This window comes from Homo sapiens, chromosome 12 (genome assembly GCF_000001405.40).
Source record: "Homo sapiens chromosome 12, GRCh38.p14 Primary Assembly".
Taxonomy (NCBI): Eukaryota; Metazoa; Chordata; class Mammalia; order Primates; family Hominidae; genus Homo; species Homo sapiens.
Genome location: NC_000012.12, coordinates 6,942,325 through 6,963,197, shown reverse-complemented (window position 1 = coordinate 6,963,197; position 20,873 = coordinate 6,942,325). Strand labels below are relative to the sequence as shown.

General features: G+C 57.4%; 2 protein-coding genes, 1 long non-coding RNA gene and 1 other non-coding gene across 15 annotated transcripts, besides 33 other annotated features; 1 reads left to right on the top strand and 3 right to left on the bottom strand.

Moving 5' to 3' along the window:
• Positions 39–840: an enhancer, noted in NCBI's record as "H3K27ac-H3K4me1 hESC enhancer chr12:7071521-7072322 (GRCh37/hg19 assembly coordinates)". NCBI's record gives its function as "activates a minimal SCP1, AML or CMV promoter by ChIP-STARR-seq in naive H9 embryonic stem cells {active_cell/tissue: H9 hESC(naive)}" and the evidence as "EXISTENCE:reporter gene assay evidence [ECO:0000049][PMID:30033119]".
• LOC105369634 (uncharacterized) lies at positions 99–1,566 on the top strand. The gene is made up of 2 exons (XR_931601.2): positions 99–659; positions 1,077–1,566. It is a non-coding gene; the product is annotated as an uncharacterized LOC105369634 (long non-coding RNA).
• Positions 841–1,640: an enhancer, noted in NCBI's record as "H3K27ac-H3K4me1 hESC enhancer chr12:7070721-7071520 (GRCh37/hg19 assembly coordinates)". NCBI's record gives its function as "activates a minimal SCP1, AML or CMV promoter by ChIP-STARR-seq in primed H9 embryonic stem cells {active_cell/tissue: H9 hESC(primed)}" and the evidence as "EXISTENCE:reporter gene assay evidence [ECO:0000049][PMID:30033119]".
• Positions 1,082–1,291: an enhancer, noted in NCBI's record as "active region_5909". NCBI's record gives its function as "activates an Ori minimal core promoter by ATAC-STARR-seq in GM12878 lymphoblastoid cells {active_cell/tissue: GM12878}" and the evidence as "EXISTENCE:reporter gene assay evidence [ECO:0000049][PMID:35858748]".
• Positions 1,100–1,618: an enhancer, noted in NCBI's record as "nonconserved acetylation island sequence 91". NCBI's record gives its function as "activates a minimal heat-shock promoter by reporter assays in Jurkat T cells {active_cell/tissue: Jurkat}" and the evidence as "EXISTENCE:reporter gene assay evidence [ECO:0000049][PMID:17135569]".
• Positions 1,641–2,442: an enhancer, noted in NCBI's record as "H3K27ac-H3K4me1 hESC enhancer chr12:7069919-7070720 (GRCh37/hg19 assembly coordinates)". NCBI's record gives its function as "activates a minimal SCP1, AML or CMV promoter by ChIP-STARR-seq in primed H9 embryonic stem cells {active_cell/tissue: H9 hESC(primed)}" and the evidence as "EXISTENCE:reporter gene assay evidence [ECO:0000049][PMID:30033119]".
• PTPN6 (protein tyrosine phosphatase non-receptor type 6) lies at positions 1,882–16,621 on the bottom strand. Of its 7 annotated transcripts, none has more exons than NM_080548.5 (16): positions 16,459–16,621; positions 11,467–11,589; positions 11,021–11,215; positions 8,204–8,393; positions 7,931–8,047; positions 7,713–7,826; positions 7,442–7,538; positions 6,977–7,056; positions 6,630–6,779; positions 5,413–5,544; positions 5,125–5,279; positions 3,204–3,271; positions 2,959–3,110; positions 2,763–2,854; positions 2,253–2,392; positions 1,882–2,072 (listed from the first exon to the last, which is right to left on the bottom strand). In NM_080548.5, exons 1-15 carry the CDS (start codon positions 16,470–16,472, stop codon positions 2,278–2,280), a joined length of 1,794 nt encoding a protein of 597 aa, NP_536858.1. In that variant the 5' UTR covers positions 16,473–16,621; the 3' UTR covers positions 1,882–2,072; positions 2,253–2,277. The 7 variants fall into 7 exon arrangements, with proteins under 7 accessions (NP_536858.1, XP_011519290.1, NP_536859.1 ...); XM_011520988.2 differs by having other exon boundaries at positions 2,262–2,392; NM_080549.4 differs by lacking the exon at positions 16,459–16,621 and adding an exon at positions 11,678–11,842 and having other exon boundaries at positions 2,253–2,535.
• Positions 2,492–2,571: an enhancer, noted in NCBI's record as "active region_5908". NCBI's record gives its function as "activates an Ori minimal core promoter by ATAC-STARR-seq in GM12878 lymphoblastoid cells {active_cell/tissue: GM12878}" and the evidence as "EXISTENCE:reporter gene assay evidence [ECO:0000049][PMID:35858748]".
• Positions 3,852–3,901: an enhancer, noted in NCBI's record as "active region_5907". NCBI's record gives its function as "activates an Ori minimal core promoter by ATAC-STARR-seq in GM12878 lymphoblastoid cells {active_cell/tissue: GM12878}" and the evidence as "EXISTENCE:reporter gene assay evidence [ECO:0000049][PMID:35858748]".
• Positions 4,122–4,221: an enhancer, noted in NCBI's record as "active region_5906". NCBI's record gives its function as "activates an Ori minimal core promoter by ATAC-STARR-seq in GM12878 lymphoblastoid cells {active_cell/tissue: GM12878}" and the evidence as "EXISTENCE:reporter gene assay evidence [ECO:0000049][PMID:35858748]".
• Positions 4,662–4,831: an enhancer, noted in NCBI's record as "active region_5905". NCBI's record gives its function as "activates an Ori minimal core promoter by ATAC-STARR-seq in GM12878 lymphoblastoid cells {active_cell/tissue: GM12878}" and the evidence as "EXISTENCE:reporter gene assay evidence [ECO:0000049][PMID:35858748]".
• Positions 4,842–5,031: an enhancer, noted in NCBI's record as "active region_5904". NCBI's record gives its function as "activates an Ori minimal core promoter by ATAC-STARR-seq in GM12878 lymphoblastoid cells {active_cell/tissue: GM12878}" and the evidence as "EXISTENCE:reporter gene assay evidence [ECO:0000049][PMID:35858748]".
• Positions 5,152–5,211: an enhancer, noted in NCBI's record as "active region_5903". NCBI's record gives its function as "activates an Ori minimal core promoter by ATAC-STARR-seq in GM12878 lymphoblastoid cells {active_cell/tissue: GM12878}" and the evidence as "EXISTENCE:reporter gene assay evidence [ECO:0000049][PMID:35858748]".
• Positions 5,586–5,705: an enhancer, noted in NCBI's record as "active region_5902". NCBI's record gives its function as "activates an Ori minimal core promoter by ATAC-STARR-seq in GM12878 lymphoblastoid cells {active_cell/tissue: GM12878}" and the evidence as "EXISTENCE:reporter gene assay evidence [ECO:0000049][PMID:35858748]".
• Positions 5,736–5,865: an enhancer, noted in NCBI's record as "active region_5901". NCBI's record gives its function as "activates an Ori minimal core promoter by ATAC-STARR-seq in GM12878 lymphoblastoid cells {active_cell/tissue: GM12878}" and the evidence as "EXISTENCE:reporter gene assay evidence [ECO:0000049][PMID:35858748]".
• Positions 8,326–8,475: an enhancer, noted in NCBI's record as "active region_5900". NCBI's record gives its function as "activates an Ori minimal core promoter by ATAC-STARR-seq in GM12878 lymphoblastoid cells {active_cell/tissue: GM12878}" and the evidence as "EXISTENCE:reporter gene assay evidence [ECO:0000049][PMID:35858748]".
• Positions 8,826–8,875: an enhancer, noted in NCBI's record as "active region_5899". NCBI's record gives its function as "activates an Ori minimal core promoter by ATAC-STARR-seq in GM12878 lymphoblastoid cells {active_cell/tissue: GM12878}" and the evidence as "EXISTENCE:reporter gene assay evidence [ECO:0000049][PMID:35858748]".
• Positions 9,196–9,245: an enhancer, noted in NCBI's record as "active region_5898". NCBI's record gives its function as "activates an Ori minimal core promoter by ATAC-STARR-seq in GM12878 lymphoblastoid cells {active_cell/tissue: GM12878}" and the evidence as "EXISTENCE:reporter gene assay evidence [ECO:0000049][PMID:35858748]".
• Positions 9,376–9,635: an enhancer, noted in NCBI's record as "active region_5897". NCBI's record gives its function as "activates an Ori minimal core promoter by ATAC-STARR-seq in GM12878 lymphoblastoid cells {active_cell/tissue: GM12878}" and the evidence as "EXISTENCE:reporter gene assay evidence [ECO:0000049][PMID:35858748]".
• Positions 9,740–10,674: an enhancer, noted in NCBI's record as "H3K27ac-H3K4me1 hESC enhancer chr12:7061687-7062621 (GRCh37/hg19 assembly coordinates)". NCBI's record gives its function as "activates a minimal SCP1, AML or CMV promoter by ChIP-STARR-seq in primed H9 embryonic stem cells {active_cell/tissue: H9 hESC(primed)}" and the evidence as "EXISTENCE:reporter gene assay evidence [ECO:0000049][PMID:30033119]".
• Positions 10,675–11,608: an enhancer, noted in NCBI's record as "H3K27ac-H3K4me1 hESC enhancer chr12:7060753-7061686 (GRCh37/hg19 assembly coordinates)". NCBI's record gives its function as "activates a minimal SCP1, AML or CMV promoter by ChIP-STARR-seq in primed H9 embryonic stem cells {active_cell/tissue: H9 hESC(primed)}" and the evidence as "EXISTENCE:reporter gene assay evidence [ECO:0000049][PMID:30033119]".
• Positions 11,609–12,544: an enhancer, noted in NCBI's record as "H3K4me1 hESC enhancer chr12:7059817-7060752 (GRCh37/hg19 assembly coordinates)". NCBI's record gives its function as "activates a minimal SCP1, AML or CMV promoter by ChIP-STARR-seq in primed H9 embryonic stem cells {active_cell/tissue: H9 hESC(primed)}" and the evidence as "EXISTENCE:reporter gene assay evidence [ECO:0000049][PMID:30033119]".
• Positions 13,797–13,846: an enhancer, noted in NCBI's record as "active region_5896". NCBI's record gives its function as "activates an Ori minimal core promoter by ATAC-STARR-seq in GM12878 lymphoblastoid cells {active_cell/tissue: GM12878}" and the evidence as "EXISTENCE:reporter gene assay evidence [ECO:0000049][PMID:35858748]".
• Positions 16,544–16,593: a silencer, noted in NCBI's record as "silent region_4196". NCBI's record gives its function as "represses an Ori minimal core promoter by ATAC-STARR-seq in GM12878 lymphoblastoid cells {active_cell/tissue: GM12878}" and the evidence as "EXISTENCE:reporter gene assay evidence [ECO:0000049][PMID:35858748]".
• Positions 16,740–17,348: an enhancer, noted in NCBI's record as "H3K27ac-H3K4me1 hESC enhancer chr12:7055013-7055621 (GRCh37/hg19 assembly coordinates)". NCBI's record gives its function as "activates a minimal SCP1, AML or CMV promoter by ChIP-STARR-seq in primed H9 embryonic stem cells {active_cell/tissue: H9 hESC(primed)}" and the evidence as "EXISTENCE:reporter gene assay evidence [ECO:0000049][PMID:30033119]".
• Positions 16,740–17,353: a biological region, named in NCBI's record as "H3K27ac-H3K4me1 hESC enhancer GRCh37_chr12:7055013-7055621".
• C12orf57 (chromosome 12 open reading frame 57) lies at positions 17,195–19,765 on the bottom strand. Of its 6 annotated transcripts, NM_001301834.1 has the most exons (4): positions 19,536–19,696; positions 19,025–19,091; positions 18,546–18,722; positions 17,195–17,427 (listed from the first exon to the last, which is right to left on the bottom strand). In NM_001301834.1, exons 2-4 carry the CDS (start codon positions 19,074–19,076, stop codon positions 17,276–17,278), a joined length of 381 nt encoding a protein of 126 aa, NP_001288763.1. In that variant the 5' UTR covers positions 19,077–19,091; positions 19,536–19,696; the 3' UTR covers positions 17,195–17,275. The 6 variants fall into 6 exon arrangements, 5 of the variants coding, with proteins under 5 accessions (NP_001288763.1, NP_001288765.1, NP_001288767.1 ...); NR_126035.2 differs by lacking the exon at positions 19,536–19,696 and having other exon boundaries at positions 17,196–17,427; positions 18,633–18,818; positions 19,025–19,176; NM_001301836.2 differs by lacking the exon at positions 19,025–19,091 and having other exon boundaries at positions 17,196–17,427; positions 19,536–19,765.
• Positions 17,234–17,353: an enhancer, noted in NCBI's record as "active region_5895". NCBI's record gives its function as "activates an Ori minimal core promoter by ATAC-STARR-seq in GM12878 lymphoblastoid cells {active_cell/tissue: GM12878}" and the evidence as "EXISTENCE:reporter gene assay evidence [ECO:0000049][PMID:35858748]".
• Positions 17,349–17,959: an enhancer, noted in NCBI's record as "H3K27ac-H3K4me1 hESC enhancer chr12:7054402-7055012 (GRCh37/hg19 assembly coordinates)". NCBI's record gives its function as "activates a minimal SCP1, AML or CMV promoter by ChIP-STARR-seq in primed H9 embryonic stem cells {active_cell/tissue: H9 hESC(primed)}" and the evidence as "EXISTENCE:reporter gene assay evidence [ECO:0000049][PMID:30033119]".
• Positions 18,209–18,788: an enhancer, noted in NCBI's record as "NANOG-H3K27ac-H3K4me1 hESC enhancer chr12:7053573-7054152 (GRCh37/hg19 assembly coordinates)". NCBI's record gives its function as "activates a minimal SCP1, AML or CMV promoter by ChIP-STARR-seq in naive H9 embryonic stem cells {active_cell/tissue: H9 hESC(naive)}" and the evidence as "EXISTENCE:reporter gene assay evidence [ECO:0000049][PMID:30033119]".
• Positions 18,209–19,368: a biological region, named in NCBI's record as "NANOG-H3K27ac-H3K4me1 hESC enhancers GRCh37_chr12:7052993-7053572 and GRCh37_chr12:7053573-7054152".
• Positions 18,520–18,669: an enhancer, noted in NCBI's record as "active region_5894". NCBI's record gives its function as "activates an Ori minimal core promoter by ATAC-STARR-seq in GM12878 lymphoblastoid cells {active_cell/tissue: GM12878}" and the evidence as "EXISTENCE:reporter gene assay evidence [ECO:0000049][PMID:35858748]".
• Positions 18,627–18,886: a silencer, noted in NCBI's record as "fragment chr12:7053475-7053734 (GRCh37/hg19 assembly coordinates)". NCBI's record gives its function as "represses an EF-1alpha promoter that drives an FKBP-Casp9 reporter gene in an ReSE screen in K562 erythroleukemia cells {active_cell/tissue: K562}" and the evidence as "EXISTENCE:reporter gene assay evidence [ECO:0000049][PMID:32094911]".
• Positions 18,680–18,799: an enhancer, noted in NCBI's record as "active region_5893". NCBI's record gives its function as "activates an Ori minimal core promoter by ATAC-STARR-seq in GM12878 lymphoblastoid cells {active_cell/tissue: GM12878}" and the evidence as "EXISTENCE:reporter gene assay evidence [ECO:0000049][PMID:35858748]".
• Positions 18,789–19,368: an enhancer, noted in NCBI's record as "NANOG-H3K27ac-H3K4me1 hESC enhancer chr12:7052993-7053572 (GRCh37/hg19 assembly coordinates)". NCBI's record gives its function as "activates a minimal SCP1, AML or CMV promoter by ChIP-STARR-seq in naive H9 embryonic stem cells {active_cell/tissue: H9 hESC(naive)}" and the evidence as "EXISTENCE:reporter gene assay evidence [ECO:0000049][PMID:30033119]".
• Positions 19,100–19,289: an enhancer, noted in NCBI's record as "active region_5892". NCBI's record gives its function as "activates an Ori minimal core promoter by ATAC-STARR-seq in GM12878 lymphoblastoid cells {active_cell/tissue: GM12878}" and the evidence as "EXISTENCE:reporter gene assay evidence [ECO:0000049][PMID:35858748]".
• On the bottom strand, positions 19,320–19,382 carry RNU7-1 (RNA, U7 small nuclear 1). Its single transcript, NR_023317.1, has one exon. It is a non-coding gene; the product is annotated as an RNA, U7 small nuclear 1 (small nuclear RNA).

Sequence of the window (20,873 nt, the reverse complement as noted above, 5' to 3'; positions counted from 1 at the left end):
TGGGCCCCGCCTGCCACCCTGCGCACAGGTGTGTCCTCCTGCCATAGGCTGCCCCCCCACTGCCTTAACCCCTTCCCTCCCAGCGCCAGCCACGGGCACCTCCTCTAAGGCTTGGCCACTCCTCTAGGCCTCCCACCCTCTCCCAGGGGCCTCTTTTCTCCAACCTGCCTAGTCTCACCCCTGTCTCCAGAGGTACAAAAAGCGGGGGCTGTCCTTGGGTCCCCTCCCCACAGCAGATGCTGCCCCCAGGACTAGCCCATTCCTCTGTGGCCTCAGACCCTGCCCACAGCGGAGCTGCAGGCCAGAGAGATCCCTGAGGTCAGCGAGGGGTCAGCTGGGCAGGAGTTGGGCTGTGCCGCCCCGCAGTGCCCAGCCTGTGCTGGGATCCCCTGAGGGAAAGGGGAGGGAGAAGGCCCCGCCAGGCCTGTGAAGGGCAGGCGGGTCCCAGCAAGGTGTCGCTAGTGTGAAGTTACCCACCGCTACCCAGAGACCCCAGCTGGCCCGGAGCATCAGCCTTGCCCCTCGATTGAGGCCTGCAGAGGGAACGATCGCGCTCCACTCTCCGGACCGAGCTGCTCCCGGACCCACCTCACAGCACAGCCCTCAGTGGAGTCCAAGTCCCACCCCAAGGGCAGGTAGCCCAAGGGCGGTTAGAGGAGGTGGGACTTGCCTTTGTGCAGCTGCGGCTTGTATAGAAAGGGCGTTGCTGGGAGAGGGGACCTGGGCCCGACAGGTGATTGCCCCACCCGTGCCCTGGAGGGCCACAGCCCCAGGGAGCTATTGGGTTGCTCAATCCCTCGCTGTTCTCTCTCCCAGGCTTTGTTTGCTTCCTTCTTAATACCCGCCTGCAATTATTTGATGCTTGTGATCGGTTTGTGAATCTGTCTCCCTGACCAGCCTCCTAAGTTCCAGGAGGTCGGGGGACTGTGAATGCCTGTGACGCCGGGGGCTCTGTAAGGATTTGCTGAGTAATGCACGCCCAGCCTCTGGGCTTTGGGACCTGTGCTGTCTCAGCCTTTCCAGGAGTGGGCGCCAGCACTTCCTGAGGGATGACTCCCACCGGCTTTACTCCCCAGGACACCAGTGTTTCAAATAAAGAAGAAACCCCACTCCTGACATGGGGGAAGGAAGAGGGGACAAAAAACAAAGCACTCTTCACGTCAGCCAGCTCTTCAAACTCTGCCCAAGAGGATAAGGGCAGCAGCGGCCTGGATGAGGGGAGGAGCTGGGCGTGCCCGGGTGCTCTGAGGAGCCTGTCCCTGTTCCCGCCAGAGGGGACGCAGCCGGGCTGGCCTCAGGTCTGCGCTTCCGGCTGTTAACTACTCTTCTTAGTTCAGATCTGGAACTCAGCATCAGGGGAGTGTGATCAGGGCCCCCCTGAGGGTGGCCCCAGCTGCAACTCCAGGGTAAGGAGTGTGGGCTCTGGGGTCAGACAGCCTGGGTTCGAATCCCAGCCTCACTGTTCCATAGCCCTGTGACCTTGGGCAAGTGACCAAGTTACTTAGTTTTTCTGTCCCTCAGTTTCCGCCACGGTAAAATGAGAATGACAGAAGTGCCTAGACTGAACTAACGTGTGTAGTCTTTTAGTGCCTGGGCACATGGCAAGCGTGTGATGAGTCACTGTGCCCGTCTTATCGTCAGCCGTCATCTCGGTGCTTTTCACAACCACCCTGTTATGATCGCCCTCCATTTTAAAGAAGGAGACTGGGGAGCTTCACCCACGGTCACCCTCCCACGTGCGAGGCGGAGTCCCGACCCACGTCCGTCTGACGGAAGGCGGAGCTTTCACGCGAGGCACGCACGGAGGCACACACAGTTACCCATCCTGCCCTGCCCTCTGGCCGCCCACTCACTGGGCAAGCAAAGGGCTCAGAGGCGACACACAGTGATCCCAGGGCTTTATTTACAAGAGGAGAAGGGTTGGCCCTGCCTGGGGCCTGGCTGGGCTATATACAGGGTCAGGGAGAGGTGGGGGGGATGCAGCCATTTAAATTACAAAAGAATGGGGCACTCCTAGGTTCAGGTTGTGAGTCTGTCCATCGCGAAATGCTTCCACAGGGTCAGGGCTGAGGCTGCCAAGAGAAGGGAGTGAGGGAGTGAGAGGGTAGCTGGAACCTGGAGGTGGAACAAGAGGGTCTGGGGCAGCTGGGAAGCACAGAATGAGGCTGCGGCCACCCCATCCACCCAGGGAAGGCAGTGGAGCCAAGGACACAGGGCAGGGCAGGGAGGACACCCAGGCAGAAGAGCTGTACCATGGCCACCTGAGGACAGCACCGCTCACTTCCTCTTGAGGGAACCCTTGCTCTTCTCCTTGTCTGCTGACCGCTGCTTCTTCACTTTCTCCTCCCTCTTGTTCTTAGTGTGCAGGTTCTCATACACATCCTCCTTGTGTCTGCAGCCGGGTGCAGGGGGGCAAGTACAGGCAGTTGGTGCAGGTCAGGAGACAGCACAGGGGGACCCGGCACTGGCAGTCCCCTCTGGCCACCCCGTCTCACAGGTGACGCAGCCACGGTCCCTGCACTAGACTCCAAGCTCCTAGAGGACAGAGGCTACATCTCATACACGAGTGCGCTGCTGGTACCTAGCAGAGGCCCACACGTGTGGGCACTCAGGAAATGCTTATGAACAGAAGGGGTGAGAACCAAGCCTGAACTTGAAGCCAGGTCCCCCCAGCTGCAACACTTGTCCTCTCCAGAAAGTGAGGATCGGGCTGGGCAGGACAAAGGGGTGGATGCCGGGCAGTGGCAGTCAGGGCCACTCACTTGGACGAGGTGCGGGAGGCCTTGGCATGGGCATTCTTCATGGCTGGGGGATAGGTGATGTTCCCGTACTCCGACTCCTGGCCCTTCTGCGACTGTGGGCAGAGGGACAGTGGGAAGGTGGTGGTCCCAGCAGGGCCAGGTGGCACCCATCCTGCACTGCAGCCCCCCCCCCCCCCAGGCCCTGCTCTGCACGCACCTGCAGGACCTCCAGCTTCTTCTTAGTGGTTTCAATGAACTGGGCGATGGCCACGTAGATGAACTTGTACTGCGCCTCCGTCTGCACCATGCCCGAGCGCTGCGCCCGCACCATCTGGATGGTCTTCTGGATGTCAATGTCACAGTCCAGGCCTGGGTGGGGGGCAGTCAAACCTCAGGTCCAGGCATAGGCGGACACCGAGGGGCTGCTCACCCCCCACCCCCAAACCCCCAGGTGCCCCTCACCCTTGGTGGAGATGTTCTCCATGAGCATGTCGATGACAATGATGGTGCCTGTGCGGCCGATGCCGGCGCTGGGGAAAGACGGGGGTGCCATCAGAGGCCAGTCAAGCCCTCCCCGGGAAGGGGGGTACCCAGCGCTCAGCTCCAGCCCCAGGCACCACAGGAGCAGCCTGAGCCTCCAGTGATGGGAGGGAATGTGCCCAGGGTCACCGGGCAAGTGATGATGGAGGTTTGCCCAGCTCTGCATGGACACGCTCCACCTCGGGCTCTGCGGTGCTGACGCTGGCTCCCCAGCTGCCACCATCCTTCCCTCCTCCACTCCTCGCGCCGACTCCTCACTCCTAGTGAGTGGCTGCCCCCACCCCGGAAGACCTGGGACCCCCAAATCCCACCACTGTCCTGCCGGCTCCCAGGTACCCTGAGCCCTCCCCGCCTCTCCCTGAAGGAGTTATGGAGCGTCTCTCAGCATGGCTTCACTTCCCTTTTCCTTCAAACCCTGACGTCAGGGAAAGGATAGCCCTGAGACAGCAGGGTGCGGGGGCACAGGGTCAGGGGACTCAGGGGAGCAGTGCAGTAGGAAGTTTCTCTCCTTTCCCAGCCCTGGGCAAACAGACCTCAGGGAGACCCCAGGCCCACCCTCAGCTGAGCCCAGCAAGCTGATGCCCTGAGTCGCGCTGTCTAATTTCAAACCCAGATTGTCAAAAATAACCCCCCACACCCACTTCCTTCCTGTAACGTCTAAATAAAGGCCATGGGGCTTTCAAGAAGTGTGTGAATGTGTGTGTGGCGGGTGAGCAGGAGGGTAGCTCTCGGGGATGGGCCTGTCCCTGAGAGAGCACAGGACAGAGCCGCGTCCCCGGACAGCCCATCGGGGGCACCTCTAGATTCAGCCGACTTGCCCTGTCCCAGGACAAACAGCTGCTGGGGGAAGAGGAGGAAGCCAGAGGCCGTCGCAGGCCTGGGGTCCACGGAGGGAGTGGGAAGGGACCGGGGCAAGGCAGGTTCCCATTCCCCTATTCTCTGCCTGATGTGAGTTACTAAACTAGTAACAGCGCCCAGTTTTTGAGGGCTGACGGAATTCCAGCCACAACGATAGGGTCTCATTGAGTTCTCACGACAACCCTGAGATCCTGATTTTACAGATGAGGAAGCTGAGGGTTAGAAAAGTTAAGTAATTTGTCCAAGACCACACAGCTGGTAAGCGGAGGGGCCCTGCACCCACTGCCTCTCATCCACCCAGGCCAGGCCAGCTCAGTGGGCTCACCTGTGGAACCCCTGCTCCTCCTTGCAGCCCCCACCTCTGCACCTTACCAGAGGTCTCCTGATCACAAACATGCGGGTAGATAGACAGAGGAGTTATGTGCAGCCCCAAAGAAGCATCACCCATCCCCACACAGCCCTGGGGGCCAGGATGGGGCACTGCCTGGGGAAGCTGGGAGAGAGGGCAGAGTCAGGAAGAAGCCGAAGCCCTGCGGCTACCGATGGAAAAAGAGGAGGAATGGGGAGCACATGCCTCATAGATGTTCCTGGGAGAAGAAACCAACAGAATGGGACCTCGAGAGAAAGCGGAGCAGCCGGGACACAGGCCTACTGTGGGTGCCTGCCCGGCCTTGCCCTGACTAGCTTGGGCCTGGCCAGCAACTGGGTCCCGGGCTCCTCCTCTGTATTTGGCAGGGTTGGGCGAGATGGTACATCCGGAGAGGGCTCTGAGGAAGATACCCACAGGCAGAGGGCCAAAGTGGGGCTGGTTCCAGCCACGATCCACCCAGGGTTCTGGAGCCATGAGGGGACCCAGGAGAAGCCGGGGGTGAGCGGAGGGCACTCAATGTGCGAGCTAACGTTTATATTGCTTATAACAGCTCATGGCACTTAGCAGTATTTACTTCTCAGCTGTCACTACTACCATCAGGATTATCATCCTCACCTGCAGTGCACGATGATGGGCCCTGCGTGAGGCAGACTTTCCTGCCGCTGGTTGATCTGGTCCAGGAAGCTGAGGACACCCCCAGGCTCACTGGGGACCCCATGGTCGGGCCAGCTCAGGTACTGGTAATGCCAGATCTCCCGAATCAGGTCTCCCTAAGCCGAGGACATAGGGTCAGTGCCCCCTCCTCTCTCGGAACACCTCATCCATCTCACCCTACCCGACCAGAGAGGAGAACAAGTCCAGGGAGGGACTCCCGGAATGGGGCAGGGCGTGGGGGCCACTCACATTGTCCAGCGGGGAGACCTGTAAGGTACGGAGTTTGTATTCGGTTGTGTCATGCTCCCCGCAGTTGGTCACAGAGTAGGGCCCATAAGCACGCTGCATGCCCACCTCGGGCCAGTATGGGACGCATTTGTTCTGGAAAGGGAGGGTCGGGTGGGGATGAGGCACAGAGCAGGGCACTGTGGCCCATCCCAGGTCCTGCTCTATGTTCTGAGTGCCTGGCACCGGCCCAAACATTTGTTGGATGGACGGATGGGCTGGCAGAGAGGCAGGAGACCTGGGCTCTCGTCTCAGATCAACCACCAACAGGTGGTGAGGCCTGGCCAGCCACTTCACCGGTACATCCGTTTGTCATTCAACAAACGTTGCCAGGGCAGGCATTGTCCCCGAAGCTGTGCAAACCACACAGCTTCACAGACACAAATAACACCCAGTCTGTGCCCCTGTGCCTCGAGGAGCTCACAGAGACAGGTGACCGGGGGAGACACCGCGCTGAGGAGCGTGGCTGGGAAAGACGTAATTCTCCCTCTAGGTCCTGGAGGAAACAAGACCTGGATTCACAGAGGAGGCAGCGCTCCGGCTGTGTCTTCAAAAACGAGGCATCTGCCAGGCAGAGATAGTGTGGAGAGAGTCATTTCCTAGCAGAAAATGAGCTTGTGCAAAGAAAGGCTGGGAACCTGAAAGAGCTGGGGCTGCTGGGGGCGGTGAGCCTTCAAGAGAAGCGTGCGGGTCAGAGGGAAGCCACCAGACCTTGAATGCCAGGCCTTAGAGTGCGACTTTATCCCAAAGGTGACCAGGAGCCATGGAAGAGATTTCAGAAAGGAAGGAACTTGACCCAGTTTGTGTCACGGATGGGATCACTTCAATGGCAGCACAGAGGGTGCTGTGTAGGGGGAGCCTGCAGGGTAAGGGGCAGACTCCAGAGAGATCTATGGGGCAGGGAGGACAGGAGGGGCCTGGATGCAGACAGGTGGGGCAGGGGTAGGAGGAAGGAGGACAGCCTGGAACCTGGGTCTGGAGCTCAGAAGAGCCCAGGGATGCATGCAGGGATCTGGGGGTCACGTTGTGTAGTCGAGACTTTGTCACTAGCCCTCAGTTTCCCAACAAGGGCCGGACCCTCACCCCTGAGATCCCTTTCTGCCCTGGCATCTGACTGCTCTTCGACTTAATGGCATGACCACAAGCACGGGGGCGGATGCGGGGAAGGGGGGGCGCCCTACCCGGCCTTTCTCCACCTCTCGGGTGGTCATGACGATGACACGGCTGTTCTCCTGCCACGCCATCTGCCAGAAGTCATTGACCGTGGCCTCCAGACAACCCTGGCTGGCGATGTAGGTCTTAGCGTTCTCATCAGGGCCTAGCAGCTGGTTCTGGACGCAAGCGTGGAGAGACGCACCCCAAGACAGTGAGCCCCTTGGCCCAGCACAGGCCCTGAACCACTGCCACCCTCACCCATGCAAGAAGCCAGCTTCGGCTTTGCCCAGCTGTCTCTGGATCTAGGGTCCCCCCACCAGACAGGGAATTCCCAGGGCCCAGCCTCTCCTCCCACGTGGCCCACACTGCTGACCTTGATGTAGTTGGCATTGATGTAGTCGGACCCGGGGATGTTACTGTCCCGTCCCTGCAGGATCACTCGGCTGTGGTCAACTGGGAGTGGGCGGAGAGGAGGCGAGATGGTCTGGGTTAGCCAGGGACTCACCACACCTGGGTCAGACCCTCCTGAGCTAACAGGCCATTCTGGTCTCAGAAGCCATGAGGCTTGCGGGGGACTGTGGGCAGCAGGGGTGGGGGATCATCTGTATGGAGGGAGTGAGGGAGTTCACAAGGAGGTTGGGAGCAGGGGGCAACCTGCCTGCTGGTGGTGGGGAGGCACTTCTGGGAGGAGTAGAGGCCTTTTGGAGAAGGGGGAGGCTCTGTGGGGGGTGTGGGGAGATGGCCCCTCCTGGCGTGGAGGGTGGAGACCTGTGAGATGAGGGGAGGCAGCTGGGGCAGGGGCGGTATCCTGGGTGAATGGGGCAGCCTGGGTGCTCACAGGGGAGAATGTTCTTGTAGCGGTTCTTGCCCTTGTTCTCTGGCCGCTGCCCTTCCAGACGCTGGTGCAAGTTCTTCACCTCCTGCTTCTGCAAACTCTGAGATGTGGGTGGGGAAATGAGCATCAGCTCCCAAAGAGGGCATCCATCGGGGGAGCTCACGTGGGGTGGGTCAGGAGCAGAGGTGGGCAAGGAGGGGAAGGTGTCCGCCTGGGGCCCCAGGCCGCTGCCACCACCTCAGCTGCCCCAGCCCTGCCGGTCCCCACCATGCACCTCAAACTCCTCCCAGAAGCCAGCCTTGGCTGTATCCTCGGACTCCTGCTTCTTGTTCAGTTCCAACACTCGGTTCTCAATGTCAGCCGCATTCACCCTCGTGGCATAGTACGGCTGGGGTGGGGAAGAGCGAGAAGTCAGCAACTCAGAGATCCCAGAAGCTCACATCTGGGGGACAGCTCAGGGGAAGTGGGGAGGCAGCTGGGCCCACCCCTGACCTGCCGCAGGTAGACAAAGGCGCCTGAGGCCTCCTCAATCCCCGTCTTCTTGAAATGCTCCACCAGGTCCGTGAGGCTGTCGAAGGTCTCCAAACCACCCACTGTGTAGCGTCCACCCTGGGGGGAGCCAAATTAGGCCATTCACAGGACTTGAGTCTCCCTCCCTGGGTCCCCAGCCTTGAATTCAAGCCCAGGCAGACCCTCCCTGCCACCCACACTGTGGTCACAGACAGGAGCCTCAGCAGAGGCTCCCCCGCCGCCTGGCTGCCTTACCTCGCACATGACCTTGATGTGGGTGACCCTGAGCGGGGAGCCTGGGCCAGCCTTGGGCTGGTCACTGAGCACAGAAAGCACGAAGTCTCCAGGCTGGCTGAGGCTCTCACGCACAAGAAACGTCCAGGGCTCGCCCTTGGCCTGCAGCAGCGTCTCTGCCTGCCCGCCAGACATGTGGCCATGGTACCACCTAGAGAAGGCAGCGTCAGGGAAGGTAAGACCCAGGCCACAGGGGAAGGCGCTGAGCAGAGACATTCACAGAGAGGGGCCGGAAATCAAGCACCTACTGTGTGCCAGGCACTGCGCTACATGCTTCCAAATCCACCACCTCATTTAGGTCTCTCACAAACATGCTGAGAGCTAGGTATGATATTACCCCCATTTTATAGATGAGGAAACTGACGCTGAGCTGTTACTCACTGGCCTAGGGCCCTTGACTGACTCTAGGGCAAGCTTCCAGAGCTCTGTTGCCCAGGCTGGAGTGCAGTGGCGCGGTTACAGCTCTCTGCAGCCTCGACCTCCCAGGTTCAAGCCATCCTAGCCTCCAGAGTTCTAACCGGGCTTCGAACCCAGAGCCCACCTCTGAAAGGCAGAAAGGCTGGCAATATTCAAAATATTTGGAGGAGAGAAGCTAAGGATGAATCTCCGTGAAGGATGGGACTGTGCCCCAGCAGAGACCAGAGGCAAAGAGAAACGCAGACCGAGGCCACACCACAGGGAGTGGTGGGAGATGGACACACAGACTCAAGTCACAAGGAAGGCGGATGGGGTGCGCTCCGCCAGGGAGGCGGGGAAGACAACCCCACTGGGGAAAGAGTGGTGTAGGGGGTTCTGGGGTGCCCTGGATGATGTCACTGAAGGGGAGCCCAGGGTTCAAACGGATTTGAAGGGGCTGTCAGGGCAGAAAGCAGAACTAAGCCCTTTCCCCGAAGCACACCCCTTTCCCAGGAGGAAACTGTAGCCCCACAAAGCCCAGCCCCACAGGAAACCACGTGATGGAAAAAACACAAAACTCCTTCTGGGGAGAGAGTGAGAAGTGAGGTTGTGAGGTTTCCTCAGCCCAGGGACGAGGGGAGGGCGGGCAAATTTTCCAACCGCAGGGATGGGGGGAAGGAGGGGAGGACCAGTCTGTCCCAACCCATCTCACCCCTGCCCGGAGGTGACTCCAGCCGAGAGACCCCCAGAGCCTCCTAACCCCACTGGGCTACTTCAGCCCACCGCCTGGGGACAGGCTAGGACCCCAGGTAGCGGGGAGGGGGCTGAGCCCCTTCCCTCAGGCCCCAGGATGAGGAAGTCTCCATGCAAATGTCAGGCTGACCACAGGAAGCGCAGAGCCACCGAGGGACAGATGCAAATTCTCGCAGAGGAGGAGGCGCACAGACAAGGCAGAGGACACAGCAGAACCTGGGAGAAAGAGCCTCTCACACACTCCCAGGCTCAGGGGTGACACTGGCTCCTGGGACGGGTCACCCAAAAGGGCCTCCAGTGCGGCTTCCCTGGTCTTAACCTCCCGCCCCGGCACTGCCCTCCCTTCCTTCTCTCTCTTCTCTCTTCTCCTTGAACCCAGGCCTCAGCCTCCTCTGCAGGGGCCTCCTGGGGCCCTGCTCCTCTCTTCCACCTCCAGGCACTGGTCAGCCCGTCCTCCTCTCCTGGCTGGAGGCAAGGAGAAAGAGAGGACATGAGCTTTAGAGGGTCTCGGTGCCAAAAGCCCCCTGAGTGTTGCGGTGGGGAAGAGGAAGGGCAGGGGGCAGACACGGAGCCAGCCATGTGAGGCTCACAGAGAGAGGGAAGGCCTTGAAGGAGGCCGATCCAGGAAAGGAGGCCTCCCAGGTGGGCCACAGGGCTGCACCGTGACCGAATCCAGCTCTAAGTTTCAATCAGTGCCTTGACCAAAAATATTGATGCAGTTTGGAGGCCCGAATCTCAGAGAGGCTGCAAGCTGGCAGGAGCAAGGTTCCCGATCATTTCAATAACCGATCCATGAATGCAGGGATCCACGGCAAGGGCAAGTCGGCTTGGCCCAGGGGTGCATGTGAAAACCCCCTAGCGTTATTCCGCTGCCCTTTACTCTAAGGGGATCTGGCATTGAGATGCGGCTGCTGAAAGGAGCCATGGTGTCATGAGGAGCATTCAGAGCCCCCAGCCCCCAGCCCATGCCTTTGGGAGACCACAGGAGGAGTCGGGGAGGCCACAGGAAGGAAATGCCTGGAGTATTACTCTGTGCCCGGGACAGCGTGAGACACTTTACACAGGTGAACACTTCACATCGTGCTCTCAATGATCTCTGTTTGGGCCGGAGACCTATTTGACCCCACAGGACAGACCCATCCCCACGGGGCGGCTGGGACAAGGCATCAAGTGTCTTGGCAAGCATTCATCCCCATCTTCACCCCAGTGTCAGCTCCTCACTGTCCTAACATGTGCTGGGGTGAGGGGCAGACGGAGGAAGGCAGGCTCGATTCCAGAGGAAGAAGAGCTTTCTAACAACAGAGCTGGCCTGCACGACATGCTGGCCACCAGCAGTGGCCTCCCTGTCTCCAGTGGGACCTGGGTTGCAGCGGCCAGGGCTCCCGGAGTAGGGCGAGGCAGCTTTCTGTGGCTTCCTCGGGGTTAGGTGGAAAGGGTGGTAGGTTAGGCTCTGAGACACCAGGTCCCAGGACAGCAGGGAGGAGGGACATTGAGAGCCCCAGCTGGTGCAGGGAGGGGAGGGGATGGAGGGTAGGCAGCGCCGGCTGCCAGTCTCCCTGCCTCCCTGGCTGTTCAGGGTGGGAGCCGGCTCATCCCTGCTTGGGAATGGCGGGGGTGCGGAGCCCTCACCTCTCACTAGTGGGATCGGAGCAGTTCAGCGGGTACTTGAGGTGGATGATGGTGCCGTCGCGGTCCTGCAGGACACCCTGCTGCTGAGTGTAGTACTCCACCAGCTCTGTCAGAGTCGCAAACTTCTCCCCTCCATACAGGTCATAGAAATCCCCTGAGTTCTGGATCCGAATATGGGTCACCTGATCCCCCACCCTGCAGGGCACCAGGCGGTGAGGCCAGTCGGTGCAGGAGTAGAGGCAGGAGGGCAGGGATCGGCTGAGGTCCTGGGTGGGGGCACACATGGGCATGGGTGGGCACAGACAGGGATGGGGAGTGTGGGGGTTGGGGGCAAGGGAACAGACGGGGAGTCAGCACTGCCACGGGGAACCAGGAATGAGTGGTTCAGGGCCTGGATGGCACAAGAGAGTGGCCAAAATGCCCGGGGTTGCGGGGGGCCCACCTACCTGACGGAGAGCGAGAAGTCACCCTGGTTCTTGCGACTGGGCCGAGCCAGGAAGCTACCGTGGACACCTCGGCCCTTGAGCAGGGTCTCTGCATCCAGCCCACTGAGGTCTCGGTGAAACCACCTGGGCGGCCCAGGCAGGGCAGTGAGGAGGGGTCCCGTGGGCACCAGGCACCCTTGCCTCCTGTCTACCGTGGGTGGCAGGCCCTTACCTCACCATCCTGGGGGCTTCCGGAGAGGAAGGGGGCGCAGGGAATGAGGAGGTGCAGCTAGTCTGGGCAGGCAGAGAGCTCAGGGACTAAGCCTCAGATGCAGCTCCCAGTGCCGGGCCGCCTCACCACCCCCGGTGGTCCCAGTTCTGGGGCTGCCACTCCACTGGCCTGGGGCAGCCGGCAGGGCGGGGACAGGAAGAGGCGCGGCCGACCCCTTGGGGGAACTCACTTGTACTTCTCGTTTTAGAGCACAGCAAGGGAAGAGAAGCAGAGCAGGGTGGCACTGGGGGTGGGGACGGGGCCCACTTCCCACACGTCTGCAATCAAAGGCTCAGGAGCATGGCATTGCACATATGTGACAACACATGCAGTAAGGACACATGTGTGCCTTGCACACTCCAGGCCCAGATAATACTTCACGCATGCGAACCCAGACGGTCCCACGGCATCTCTCCCTCCTCCACCAGCTGCTTTTACGCAGCCCTCCCTGGCCCACGCTAATAACAATGATGGCGGTGACAACTGTCATCGAGTGAGTCCTGCTGGATGCCGGGCGCTGTGCTATAATGGCGTTCACATGCCTTGTCTGATTGGTTTCTCACCACAGCCCTATGAAACAGGGGCTATCTTTATCATTTTACAGACAAGGAACCTGAGGCTCAGGGAGTTTAAGGCATTGCCTGAGTCCATCAGTGAGTCAGCTGCAGTGCCAGGATTCAAACCCAGACAGTCCGGTTCCAAAGCCAGTGCTTTGAACTCCTATACACCAGCCCTCAGGGCTTCAAAGAACAGAGATTAAGAGCCTCCTTGTCCAAAGGGGCTGCCATGGGAGCAGGAGACTAATAGTTAAGACCTTGCCAATGCTTGCAAGAGAGAAGGGTGCCCTCCTCTAACCAACATATGCAGTTTGTCCATGCCACTGTGGCAGAGGGATGGACAACATGACCCTGAGCAGCCCTGTCAACATGGGTCCTTTCTAATTCTTGTCCCTAGGCCTCTGCCCTGCCCCAGCACTCCCACCAGGGGGCCTATCTCCTGGGGGGCTGGGGGACAAGGTCCTCACCATGGCTGATTTTCTCAGGGCTGGTTGATCTTAGAGGCCCTAAACACTAAGGTATATGATGCTGCCTACCTGTAATTCCAAATACAAACATCAACACCGCCAAACCAAAACGAGGAAAAGCAGCTCAACAGGGGATACATAAGAAACACATATTGGTGGCTTCCCCTAGGGAGGGAAACTGGGTGGCTGGAGGACAGGGCTGGGGGAGACACTTGGTTCTCTACATACCTTTTTGAATGTTATATGATGGGCATGCATTACCTTTATAAAAATAAATATGCTAACTGGGAACAATTTCTGGGAAACTTTTAGGGTACAGGGAAGGCTCTTTGTCTCTATCTGGATGCTGTTTGCATGGGTGTGTATAAACGTGAAGTTGGCCGGGCGCAGTGGCTCACGCCTGTAATCCCAGCACTTTGGGAGGCCAAGGCTGGCGGATCACGAGGTCAGGAGATCGAGACCAGCCTGGCCAACATAGTGAAACCCCAACTCTACTAAAAATACAAAGATTAGCCGGGTGTGGTGGCACATGCCTGTAATCCCAGCTTCTCAGGAGGTGGAGGTTGCAGTGAGCCGAGATCATGCCACCGCACTCCAGCCTGGGCAACAGAGTGAAACTCCGTCTCAAAAAAAAAAAAATTAAAAACCATACAGATCAAGATCAATGGTGATACAAGAAGATAGGCAGTCTGGAAGCGCAAACAAGGCAAAATAATCTGTAGAAAGTTCTGGAACTGCTCTGAGCCTCAGAATCCCCGCCTGACAAATGAGCTTAACAATATTTCCCAAATACTGATGTGAAAAGCTGGTAAGTGGCAGGGTTTCAGTGCTGCCAGCTTTTACATTATACTATTAATCCTCAGGCCAACCCTACTTAGTAGGTGTTATTCACCCAATTTTAGAAACAGAAACTAAGACTCAGAGATGTTAAGTAATTGCCCAAGGTCACAAGCTAGTGAGTAGGAAGGTGGGTAAAACACGGCTGTCAGACGCCGGAGCCTGGTGCCCTTTCCCCCAACAACCATACTGCAGCAGACAGCGTCGGGGGCAGATGGGATGGGCACTGCCACAGCCCATGATGGAAGGTGGAGGAAGAAGTGCTCCCCCAGAGGCAACATGGGTCAGGGCAAAGAGGTGGCACGCACAGAGTCCACATGGGCAGTGCCTGGCCGTGAGCAAGCCATGTGGCTGGAGCAAAGTTGTTCTGAGAGGTGGGGACCCTGCTGTAGAGGGTCATTCAAGGCCAGGCTGAGAAACCAAGGATGAAATCTGCACCAGGGGAGGCCTGGCCAAGCTACCTGGCAGGAAAATGACCACAGACGGGATCAGGGACCAGAAGACTCAGTAGGAACCCCATCGGTGGGGCCGACAGTGACAAGATGTGCACTGGGGCAGGGGCAGACATGAGTGTGAGAAGCAAGAATCAGCAGGGCTAGGGAGCCACCCACCCACAAACTCGCCAGTACTCTGTAAGCAGGTTGTCACTTTTTCTTTTCTTTTTTTTTTTTTTTTGAGATGGAGTCTCTCCCGCTGCACTCAGGCTGGAGTGCAGTGACGCAATCTCGGCTCACTGCAACCTCCGCCTCCTGGGTTCAAGCAATTCTCCTGCCTCAGCCTCCCTAGTAGCTGGGACTCACAGGTGCGCACCACTGTGCCAGCCTAATTTTTTTTTTGTATCTTTAGTTGAGACAGGGTTTCACCATGTTGGCCAGGCTGGTCTTGAACTCCTGACCTCGTGATCCACCTGCCTCGGCCTCCCAAAGTGCTGGGATTACAGGCTTGAGCCACCATGCCCAGCCGGTTGTCACTTTTTCTTTTTTCTTTCGACCGGTTGTCACTTTTTCTTTTTCTTTCCTTTCTTCTTTCGACTGGGTGTCACTTTTTCTTTTTCTTTCCTTTCTTTTCTTTCTTTCCTTCCTTCCTTTTCTTTCTTCTTTCTCGCTCTTTCCTTTTTTTCCTTCTTTCTCTTTTTCTTTCTTCCTTCCCTTCCTTCTTTCCTTCCCTCTCTTTTTTTTTTTTTTTTGACACAGAATCTTGCTTTATCACCCAGGCTGAAGTGCAGTGTCACAATCCAACTCACTGCAGCGTCGACCTCCTTGGCTCAGGTGATCCTCCTGCCTCAGCCTTCCAAGTAACTGAGACCACAGGTGCATGCCACTACATCCAGCTATTTATTAGTAGTAGTAGTAGTCGTAGTCGTAGTAGAGATGAGGTCTCTCCCTATGTTGCCCAGGGTGGTCTTGAACTCTTGGGCTCAAGTGATCCTCCCACCTCAGCCTCCCAAACTGCTAGGACTACCACATGCTTGGGCCATCATACCCAGTATTTTTTTTTAATAGAGATGGGGTCTCTCTATGTTGCCCAGGCTGGTTTTAAACTCCTGAGCTCAAGCAATCTTCCCCCTTCGGCCTCCCAAAGTGCTGGGATCACAGACGTGCGCCACCTCATCTCGTCAGGTTTTCACTTTCAACATCCTAGCTCCAACATGGTCTAACCTGCTGTGGCCCTGCCTCCGCTCCACTAGGGTCCTCTGCCACGGGCACACTGTCCTTTTTTTGTTTGTTCCCACATTAGGGCTTTGTGCTCACCATCTCCTCTGCCCAGAGATGCTTGACTCTTGATCACTACGTCACATGGCCAGCTCCTCTTCCTCCTCATCCGGGTCTCAGCTCAAATGTCACCTCCTCGGGAAGGCCTCCCTGATCCCTCCAGCTAGTAATGTCACCTGCACACCCAGTCACTTGCTAGCATATGAAGCTGGTTCATTTTCTTTTTTTTTTTTTTTTTTTGAGACAAGGTCTCACTCTGTCGCCCAGGCTGGTGTGCAGTGGTGCAATCATCGCTGACTGCAGCCTTGACCTCCCAGGCTCAAGCAAGCCTCTCACCTTAGCCTCTCCATAGCTGGAACCACAGGACGTGTGCCACCACACCCAGCTAATTTCTTATTTTTTGTAGAGACAGGGTCTCACTATATTGGCCAGGCTGGTCTCAAACTCCTGGGCTCAAGCAATCCTCTCGCCTCAGCCTCCCACAGTGCTGGGATCACAGGTGTGAACCACTACACCCGGCCAAGGCTGTCTATTTTCTGCGTAATACTTCTGAGAATCTGCAATGATCCAATTTATTGGGTTATTTGTTCGGTCTGTAACCTCCCACTGGAATGTAAGCTCCGTGAGAGCAGAGACCATGTCTGTCTTGTTCACTCCAGTATTACCAGCATCTTAAACAGCACCTGGTGCATAATAGATGCTCAACACGTACCTGTTGAATGAATGATGCAGGGGAAAGGGAAGTGAAAGGAAACAAAGAAGATGGGACCAAAGTCTGATGTTGGGAAGTGCGGAGAAGTTGGCTGGACGTGGGAGGGCCTTCGCGGGTGGCCTCTGACTGCTATGTTTGAGGTGTTGTGAGCTACCCAGGGGGACAGGTCCTAAGCAGGAGGCAGAAGCAGGAGCCCAGAGGCTGGAAGTAGAAATGCAATGGAGAGAACAGATACACACTTGTCCAGGGGAAAATGTTAAAGAGGGGGCAGAGGAGCATGAGTGAGCCGGGGGTCCTCACACCTTGCGGGAAGGGGAAGTTCATAGGGACCGGAAACAGGCGCAGGGCAGCGGCAGATCGCACTCACGTTCACACACGTCGGAGTGAGCATCAACAAAGCCCTCCCTCCCTCCAAAACTAACAGGAGACTGGGACCCCGATGGTGCCCGGGACTTACCCACGGGACAGCATCTCTCTGTAGGGAGGGGGAAGCCACGGCAGAGGGCCGCAGGGGGCGGGGCTGAGCCAGCGGCACAGCTGTGCACAGTGGCCCAAGCCAGGTGAGGAAGAACCGCTCAGTAATCAGCCACTTCCTCCTCGATCCTGCCTGCCAGGCCAATGGCACTGCAGGGACAAACCCTGGACTAATAGTCTCCAGGAAAAGGACAGGTGGGGCGGGGCTGGCCCGAGACCGCCCACAGCGGCCAGCTTCCCTGCAGCCCCAAAGCGGGAGTACAGCAGGCCCGCCTGCTGGTCCAGGGCCGCCTTCCCCCGGGAGAGGAGGAGCCACCTGGAGCTCCACCTGGAGCTCAAGCTGACAGAGCGGCGGGGTATTGGGTAGGGGAACAGACCAGGAAGTAACCCTGGCTGAGGAAGAGCAACCAATGGGGGAAACCTCTCCGTAGGCGGAAACCAAAGGGCCTAAGGAAAATCCCTAACAGCCCAGTTCCTCAGAGAAGGAGGTACCCCCTGTGCAGGCCCACCCACCCAGGGCGCTGAGGGACCCACTCCAGCCTCTCAACCTGCCCCGGGGGAAGGGGAGGAGCCTCAGGTAGGGTTAGGCCCTGGGGCAGGGTTAGGCCCAGCCAGGACCATAGGGAGGAGCTGTTCAGGGGGATGGGGCCTGGAAAGGCAGAGGGAATCAGGGAAGGAGAGATGGGGGTTGTCAGGTCCGCAAGAGACTGACACCAAGGCTAAGTCACAGGCGCATTTATTATTGTCTGGAACATCAAGGCCTTTCCTCCCCTGGCAGTGGCACAAGGGAGGGCCAACTCTCAGGAGGCGGCCACGCTGCCACCAGCAGCAGGCCCATGGGGTGGCAGGGTCATGGGCGGCAGAAACAGCGCCTTCAGCTTGCCTGACAGGCTGGCGATCTCAGGATCCTGGGCTTCGTAGGACTTGACCAAGCGAGCAAACTTAAGGACACCTGCAAGAGGGAGTGGAAGGTCAACCCTTCTCCTAAGGACCAGCGTGCCTAAGACACCTGGAGGGGGTGGTAGTCTAAGCATGAACTGCTCCCCCACTGGCTGGGCAGCTGTTTGCCAAACAGGACGCATGCAGGCCTCTGTCCCGTGTGGTTTGGATGATGACATTTGGTCTACACTGGGCACAACTAGATGGGATGCAGTGAATGAAAATGTCCCAAGGCAGTGTGCTTCTTGCTCTCAGGTGAACCATTTTAGCAGTTTAGTCACTGGAACCCCAAGAATGAACACGAGACCCCAGGTCTGTAGCTGGAACTCAGGAAGGCTATGAGGCAGCAGAGCTGAATCAGTCAACACCTTTGGGGAACACCAGGATCTCACCAAAAATTTAACCACCAACCCCCCCCAAACAAAAATTAGCTGAAACACCCTGGAGAGACTGCAGCCACTGCTGTCATGCAGACATGTCACTAAAAGGTGGCACAACAGCATTTAAGTCCAGCTCTGCTACTCGAGAGTCTGCACCATTAGAGTTTGCTTCCTCATCACAAAATGGAATAATAATGTGATTAACAGTACAGGTTGACCATCCTTAATTAGAAAATCCAAAATCTGAAATTATGAGTGCCAGTGTGAGGCCGAAAATGGAAAATTCCACACCTGACTTCATAGTGGGGGGTGGGGGAGACTGTAGTCAAAACGCAGTCAAAACTTTGTCTCATGCACAAAATTATTCAGACTATTATATAAAATTACCCTCAGGCTATGTGCATAAGGTGCGTGTATATGAAACAAAACAATTTCGTGTTCAGATTTAGGTCCCATCCCCCAAGATATCCATGTATATGTAAATATTCCGAAATCTGAAAAAACCCGAAACACTTCCGGTCCCAACCATTTCGGGTAAGGGATACAGAACCTCTACTGTACAAAACGCAACTCGGACGCACAAGCTCAGGGTAGACCCTGGGCTCTGAGTGCCAAGAATGTTAGTCAGATTGTGGCTGCCGCCGTGTGGCGAGAAAGGGGACAACCGCTCATGGGCCCACAGATCCGGCGCCCTCTCCCGACCCAACTCCCGCCTTCCCGCGTCTGACCCGCCTTCCCGCGTCTGACCCACCTTCCCCGTCGCAGCTGAAGCCATAGGCTTTGATAACCTCCTGCTGGATCTGCGTGGCCACGGGCAGCACGAATTGCAGCATCTTACCCATGTCGTTGCAGGCGTTATCCCGAGCCTCGTCCATGCGCACTGCATTCTCCGGGGCGGAGAACGCCTGGATCACCTCCGCGAGGACCACTGCGCGCCAGAAGCATCCCAGGGAGGCGTCCCGGGTAGGCGTCGGAGAACAGACAGCGGGCCCAGCGGAGAGCGCAAGGAATTAGTGGATTGAGGCTGTAGGTAACCCAATAAGATCCCAAGTCTTGGGGGCAAGCGCCCCACTTAGAAGGACGGTACCCGGCGTCCCCTACCCCATTTTCCCGGCGGACGTAGCCAGGTTTGTCGCCCCACATCCTCCGCCCGCATCCTCCCCAGACCAGCAGCCCATGCCTTGACTACCCCAGGCCAGCAGCCTATGCCTTGACTAGGACGATTCTCACCCTTTGCTTGCTCAGCGCTCAAGGCCGCCGGTTGGGTCGAGGCGGACGCCATAGGGCGTCTGAAGCTCTAGGTTCAGCGGAGGTAAATGGAAAACTCACGAATAAAGAGCCACGTCCTACAACCGTTCCCAACGCCCCTGGGAGCGGAAAGGAAACAGCATCCGGCGCAGCCGGAAGCGCCCAGGCGTGGCCCAAACCTTCATACCCCAAGCTTACAACTGCATCAAGACCACCAAAACTACCCATAATTTTTGCACAGTGAAAACAATCTATCATTGGCAACAAACATCATAAGAGGGGCTTTCCGGTAAAAAGCCAGAAAGCCTACTAGACAAATTCTAAAAGAGCTGTAACACTGCTGCGTATGTGTTTGGAGAGAAGATGGGATATAAAGGAACTCCACAATTGATGAGGGTGAGCTTAGGTGACTTTTTTCTTGTTCCTATTACTGTATAAACAACGACGCATGTGGTAACTTTCAGTAGGAAAAATAATATTCTAAGGAACTTACTTAAGTCATTCATTTCTAGAGTTCGCGAACATTTGTTCTCAGCCCATGCAAATGAGTTCGGTGCTGATTGGTTGAGAAAGCAGCCAGTCACAGCCCCTTCGTTGTTGTTAAGCCCGGAGACCTGGATTCGGCAGTAAAGGCCCAGAGCAAAAGCCGTTGTCGCAGTTTCCTAAAGGCCTTGTCTATTGATGAGCGATGGAGCCTAATGCCCGGCCCGATTTCCCTTCCCTTCCAGGCTTTTATCACCCACTCCCTTCTCAAACTGTAGGTGGTTAAGGATGCCAGGTACTAATCGCCTGGACCTATTAAAACTAGCCCACCCCACCCCCGCTTCATAACCGGCTTTGTTTTTTGTTTTTGAGACGGAGTCTTGCTCTGTCGCCAAGCTGGAGTGCAGCTGGGGGGGATCTTGGCTCACCATAACCTCCACCTCCCGGGTTCAAGCGATTCTCCTGCCTCAACCTCCCAAGTCGCTGGGACGACAGGCGCGCGCCACCATGCCCAGCTAATGTTTTGTTTTTAGTAGAGACAGGGTTTTGCCATGTTGGCCAAGCTGGTCTGGAACTCCTGACCTCGTGATCCGCCCGCCTCGGCCTCCCAAAGTCCTGGGATTACCAGCGTGAGCCGTCGCGCCTGGCCTCATAACCGTTTCTTAAAGTATTCCACGGAAAGGTTTCAGGACTCTGAAGCCCTTGTTCCGGAGGACTCTGGTGGCTCCTAGCAGTGAGACCCGTCTGAATAGATTCCTAGAACTGACCACGTCAGAGGTGGGCCTGTCCCAGGCCTCTAGTGTTTGGTTGGTTGGGGTGTCTTTTGTTTGTTTGTTTTGAGATAGGGCCTTGCTCTGTCACCCAGGCTAGAGTGCAGTGGTGCGATCATGACTCACTGTAGCCTCGACCCCCAAGTGATCCTCCCACCTCAGCCTCCTGAGTAGCTGGGACCACAAGTGCACCACAACCCCCAGCTGATTTTGTCTTAAGATGGGGTTTCTCTATGTTGCCCAAGCTGGTTTCCAACTCCTGGGCTCAAGCAATCCACCCGCGTCTCACAGGCATAAGCCACAGAGCCCAGACCGAGGCCTCCACTGGCGCGCAGCGGTCCTGCCCAGCCTTGGGGCAGGAGGGGGCACCAGCACCCATGGTACCGCCTCCAGCTGAGTCAAGGCTCTGGGCTCTTCAGGGATCCCCTCTCCAATTCTTCCCAGCCCCCACACCCCGTTCCTTAAGAAGGTCTGGTCTCTTCCCGCTTCCCTGCCAGGCCCTGGCTGCAGTTCTCTCTAAGCACCGCTGCACTGAGACCCAGCCTCACCCCCATATCCCGCAAAGAATAGTCACAGCC

What these genes read in the sequence shown, in the direction of transcription:
- PTPN6 (NM_080549.4), bottom strand. An exon ending in GAGAGGTGGAGAAAGGCCGG is followed by an intron (nt 5,545 to 6,629) that starts GTAGGGCGCCCC and finishes CTCCCTTTCCAG; the next exon opens with AACAAATGCGTCCCATACTG. An exon ending in GGAGAACATCTCCACCAAGG is followed by an intron (nt 3,111 to 3,203) that starts GTGAGGGGCACC and finishes CCCCCCACCCAG; the next exon opens with GCCTGGACTGTGACATTGAC.
- C12orf57 (NM_001301834.1), bottom strand. Translation starts at nt 19,076, where the DNA reads ATGGCGTCCGCCTCGACCCAACCGGCGGCCTTGAGCGCTGAGCAAGCA. An exon ending in GAGCGCTGAGCAAGCAAAGG is followed by an intron (nt 18,723 to 19,024) that starts GTGAGAATCGTC and finishes TCTGGCGCGCAG; the next exon opens with TGGTCCTCGCGGAGGTGATC. An exon ending in CTTCAGCTGCGACGGGGAAG is followed by an intron (nt 17,428 to 18,545) that starts GTGGGTCAGACG and finishes TCCCTCTTGCAG; the next exon opens with GTGTCCTTAAGTTTGCTCGC.